The sequence below is a fragment of the Homo sapiens genome, chromosome 5, assembly GCF_000001405.40.
Source record: "Homo sapiens chromosome 5, GRCh38.p14 Primary Assembly".
Lineage (NCBI taxonomy): Eukaryota > Metazoa > Chordata > Mammalia > Primates > Hominidae > Homo > Homo sapiens.
Window position 1 is genome coordinate 4,017,923 of NC_000005.10, and position 5,487 is coordinate 4,023,409.

Consider the following 5,487-nt stretch of genomic DNA (forward strand, 5'->3'; position numbering starts at 1 on the left):
TGAACAAAAACATCAAGACAGACGTTTCTCACCTGCATCAGTTCTGTGTTTTCTGCATTTGGAATTTCCCAAACTGTTACTGTTTGTTAATTGGATAGTCTTTACTTATTCAAGTTTTATCAGTTTTTTTTAATTGTACTCCCTTAAATTGTTTGCTCTCAGACTAGAGCTAAATCTAGATGAAAATGTGTTGTCACCAAACAGTGAAATAAAATAAAACACAAAAAGCTCTTTATGGCCCACAGCTGGCCATGCTTAAAATCTGGGTTGTGTGATTGCATCAACTCCATTCATCTGAAATAAACAGAGAAGGGGGAAGACAAAGAGGGAAAAAAACCAAGAAACTCTCCTCTCACAGAAACAGTGGCTCCTTTCCCTTCAGACGATTGTATTTATGTAGAGGCCCAGTTATCTTAAAAGTATTCCCTGTGTTTGACAGGAAGACCAGAGTTGGATTACCCACTGATTGTGACCTTTTCTCGTACAGCAGCATGGTTACAGGACACCATCACAAGAAAGGCAGCCCCTATGCTGGCGAGGAGCTCAGAGCATGAGCTACCCATTCACCCAGGAGGTGCTGGAAAAATTGGTGGCCACATCAGTGGGTGGGCCAGAAAAAACACTAAGCTTCCCTCCATCACCTCTTAGAGTTCGTTAGGATTTTAAATGCAAACTCCAAAGGCCGTTCATTGCATGTTGTGTTTTAGTGAATGCTGGTGATCGCGGGCGCCTATTTTAGCCTAAGAAAAGAAGAGGTCAGAAGCCATATGGACATGCACTTGGCCCTGGCAGGTGGAATTGGAAGGCAGAACTTCATGTTCTTCCCTATCTTAAAGAAAGATTATTTGTAGCTCATTGTAATGTCTCATTGTTCTCATTTGTTTTGCTAACACATCTCATTACCATACATTTGAATCTAAAGTCAGAAAGGATACTGATATGCCCAATGCCAGGTCTCACCTGATTTCTAGGTCCTGCCAGTCACACCCTACTAGGAAAAGCCCATTTCTCCTATTAGAGTCCTGTGCCTTCTCTAAACAAATATTCAATTTTCCATATTAGTATTAACAAACATTGGCCCTCTCAGTGGTGACAACACCAAACAAATTGTCAGGAGAAGGAGGAAGGTTTTTGTTTCTTCTCCAGCAGCTGGATTTAGAAAAGAAGACAGGCGTGAAATGTGTGGGTAGATCTGTTTCAACAATGGCAAGAACTACCAATTGTGTAATCCAGTTTCAGCAGGGGATTTCTCTTTATCTTAATAACTAGTGAAATGGGTGGACCTCAAATTTCATTTCAGTTTGGAAACAGGCCCAACATTTTGGAGATGTTTATTCCAAATTCAGCCAACTTTATAAACCTCTTCAGGCTCTAAAATCTTTCTGGGAATTGCACCAAAGCAGATTTTTTGGTGAGATCTAATCCTTCCGGCTTCTGGAACAGCCTCCCTCTGAATCCTTCAATAATTCAATCTTTAATCCAGACCAGAAGAAAGAACATGGGCAATTCTGGAAAGAAAAAAATTAAAAATTACCTGTAAGACCTTAGGCCTACATTTTAGATAAAGTTTCCAGGAAGTTCTGACTGTAGACCAATTGCACATCCATGTCTAACAACTTGAGTCAGTCCCTTCCGTGGAGTTTGTGTGATTTGCTCTTGAGGCGTAAGGAGAAGGACATGCCCCAACATGCCCCGATGCTTCCAAACAAGGAATGTTATGAATCGGTACGCATTTTAACATTCAGGTTACTGTTTTTGCAAAGCATCTCCTCAACTTTCGCAGTCTTTACTAACTTTGGAGATAAGCAAAGTCTTTTTGTGCCCCAAGGTTCACTTTGTCCCGTGGAAAGCACATTAAGAATGTACCCTGCATGCCAGTCACCCCCACGACAGCTTCAGTTCAGGCTGGTTTGCCATATCTGTGCTTAATTTTGAGGTGCCTTCTAGTTTTTCTTGAATTAATTATGTCCAAAGATGTAGGAAAGTTGAAAGTGCAAAGCTGTACGAGCGCAAATAAATATCTAGTTTAGTAACTGGAAGTAGCAGAGAAACCAACATGTTGCACAAAAACAGTGATCAATCACTCGGTAATGAAACAAATCTGAAAGGCTAGACTGGATCTTGCCTGTAGCACTTGGACAACGTGAGGCTGTGTCATCCATGGGGATCAGCAGGAGAGGAAAAGCAAAGAGTCCATGGAACAAAGGATGGGCAATCACTGCAGATGTTAGGAGCTGCATGTCAATGCAGGGGTCCCCAGACTCCTGGGGGACTCAGGCGAAGGGCTCTAAGGGTTGTTCCGAACATGGTGCCTCTGGGAGATCAAGGCCCAGCCCTTTCTGCCCAGCATCGAAGTGGGCAGGATGGAGAGGAGATTAGAAGGCTCACTCTTGGAGCTGCCCGGGAAAATGAACAGGTTCTCCTGGCTTCTGAAGCAGCTCCATTCTGGAAAAGGGCATCCAAGAGCCTGCCCATGTACAGTAGGAGAAGAGAAGGCTTTGCTTCAGTATGCCCTGAGCCCACCGGCTCTGTATTTGATCATAAATCCACCCAGGAAGTAGCTTGGAAACGTCCTTGTCACTTGGGACTTGCAAGAACAAAACAAAACAAATTGAAAACAAAAGCACAGACTGGAAAAGCCTGTGATTCATCGGTTTCTAAGAAGGGGTTTTTGTCCATTGTGAGAGGCCAGAATTTGAGTTTAGATAATAGAATAGAATTATTCATTGACTGATTAACTAGTCAGTCTATGGGCTTTTCTGAGAGCCCTTTCTGTGTACAGGCAGCAGGCTAAGGACATAAAGGGACATCAGGATGAACAAAGCAACACTGCTGTTCTTGATGGGGAAAGAGGAGACCCACAGACAGGTCATTGCCACCGGACGGAGTGACAGGGAACTGGGTAGCCCTGAGAGCATTCTCAGTGGGACCCAGGCCAGGGAGGAGCTGGCATTTGGTTGAGATAACCACCGGCTTTGTAGGGAAGGATCTGAATTTTTTTCTGAGTTCTCATCACGTGTGAATTCTGTTTCTTCCCTTCCAACGTGGGATAAATTATAGAAACTAATAGGACATTTGTGACACCCCATGTATCATAGATGGTAACGATCTGAAATATTTGATTAGTTCATTCTATTTTTGATTGCGGTAAAATACATACAACATTTACCATCTTAGAGATTTAAATGTACACTTCTGTGGTGTCAAGTTCCATTCGTATTGTGTGCAGCCATCCCCACCATCTATCTCCAGAACGTTTTTCATTTTGCAAAACTGAAATTCTGCACCCATCTCCCCTCAGTGCCTGCAACCACTTTCTCTGAACTTGACTATTCTAAGTACCTCATGAGTAACATCCTATGGCGTCTGCCCTTTTGTGACGGACTTGTTTCACTCGAGGCAATGTCCTCAAGCTACGGCCGTGATGTATCATGCATCAGAATTCCCTCCTTTTCTAAGGCCGAATAGTATCTCACCATAAGTGTATTCCACGTTTTCTATGTCCGTTCATCTATCTGTAAGTCACTGGATTGCTTCCACCTTTTGGTTATTGTGAATAATGCTGCTGTGGACATTTTTTATTTTTAGACATCAAAGTTTAAACCCACGTTTTGCCTGGCATGGTGTTGCCAGCCTATAGTCCAAGCTACTTGAGAGACTGAGATGGGAGGATCCCTTGAGCCCCGGAGTTCAAGGTCGGCCTTAGCAACAGAGTGAGTTCTTGTCTCTGAAAAGAAAAAGAAGTTTAAACCCTCACTTCACGTTCGTACTTGGCTCCATATGCAAGCCCCCTACCTTTCTCCTCTGATGACACACCATCCTGAGGTTGGTGGTTCTCCTCCTCAGATATGTTATTCAAATTGTCAGCTTGTCTGTGTGCTTCCAAGCTATACACATTGTTTTGTGTCTTTTTAAATTGATACAAAACTGATATTGTATAGTTCTGCAATAGATTAAGCATATTTTCTATTTTGAAAGATGAGAGACAAGGATAAAAGAAAATCAAACTTTTAACAAAATTTAGTTGAGAGTAGAAGTATAAATTCTGCTAATTTGGTCAATAATTTTTATAGCTTTTATTTTCCTTTGGTTACCTTACTTAGTACCAGAGACACAATTAACTTAAAATGAATTATCAAAAGAAGTCTTCAAAATACCATTGCTTTTTCATAAATGAGAGCTCCCTGGGGACATATCTATGGGAAGGAAGCACATCAGGCTACCCCGTGTTAATTACGGTAACGCTAGCCGCCATGACAGATCGGAGGCTCAGCTGTGTGAGGCTTCATTTCTCACACACATAAACCCCATCTGGGGCTAGGTGCGGAGGCAGTTGTCGCTGCAGTCTCTGGAGACCAAGTTAGCAGCCCCGCCACCTCCACCATGTGGCTTCCAGGGTGTCCTGGGTGTGGCCATCCAGCAGGTGGACAGGAGAGAAACCAGCTGAGAAGTTGATGCAGGAAACATCTGGGGCCAGGTTCAGAGGGACCAGCGCTGCCCTTGTGGGCCTGCAGACAGCCAAGACGCAGCCACCAGCACAGCTAATCCCGGGGCCTGGGCAGAGTGGGGTGGGCGACGTGGCCGTGCGGGAGTACAGTTGTGCACGTGGGGAAGAGGAAGGGGGTTTGTGGGCAGCAGGGTGCCCTTTTCCATATTAATTTCACTGCTAATCCTCCGTGCCGCACCCCACCCGTGGGGAAGCACCTGTCTCACACAGCAGGAAAGCCTCCACTCATCAGTCACTTAGGGGAAGTGTGACACTGCAAGCCTCTGGTCCTTTGGGGTTCCTGGTTTTTTCCATAGCATCTGAGCAGCAAGCATCAATTTCTCTGAATAGGCCTCACCCCCCGCAGGGCAACCAACACCCTTCTGAGCTTCCTTCTCCCTGCTGGACTCCCTGATTTCCATCTTCCCTATTTTCTTTCTGCTCTTCTATTTCTTTTCCCTTCTTAAAGGCTCCCCCTGGTTTTGTAAGGTCTAGAAGTAACCTATGGACAAGGTAGGAAGGCTGGTGAGGGGCCGGGGTCGTCGCTGAGGCCCCGTTTTTGCTGCTATCAGGCTGAATTCCACAAGAAATGTCCTCGGCGTCACTGTCACTGCTCCCAGGATTGCTCGCCCCACGGAAGACACTGGTGGCCAAGAGCCACACTGGCTTCTGGTCCAGAGTTCACCAGACAGAGCAAGCCCAGATGGTCCCAGTTGCATAAGTGTGGTGCAGGCTCCCCGGGGCCCTGCAAGCTGGGATCACTCCTCCTGGCCCTCACGTGAAGGACCCTTGCGGGTCCAAGATATCCCCATTCCCAGAAGGCGGTTTGGCCGCTCACCCCGCCTGGCTGCCCACGTAAGCCACAGCAACACATGAGCGAGAAGAAAAAAGTCTTCTGTTTCATGTTAAAAAGTACAAATATGATATTATTGATTCAGAAAGGAAATGTGCTGAGCGAGGACTCAAAGTACAGCTGAATCGAACCCCGGGGACAGCTTATG

At 45.3% G+C, this 5,487-nt stretch overlaps 1 annotated feature.

The window, feature by feature from the left end:
* Nucleotides 1,205-2,404: an enhancer, noted in NCBI's record as "MED14-independent group 3 enhancer chr5:4019241-4020440 (GRCh37/hg19 assembly coordinates)". NCBI's record gives its function as "activates an origin of replication core promoter dependent on BRD2, BRD4, P300/CBP and CDK7 cofactors, and independent of MED14, by STARR-seq in HCT116 cells {active_cell/tissue: HCT116}" and the evidence as "EXISTENCE:reporter gene assay evidence [ECO:0000049][PMID:35650434]".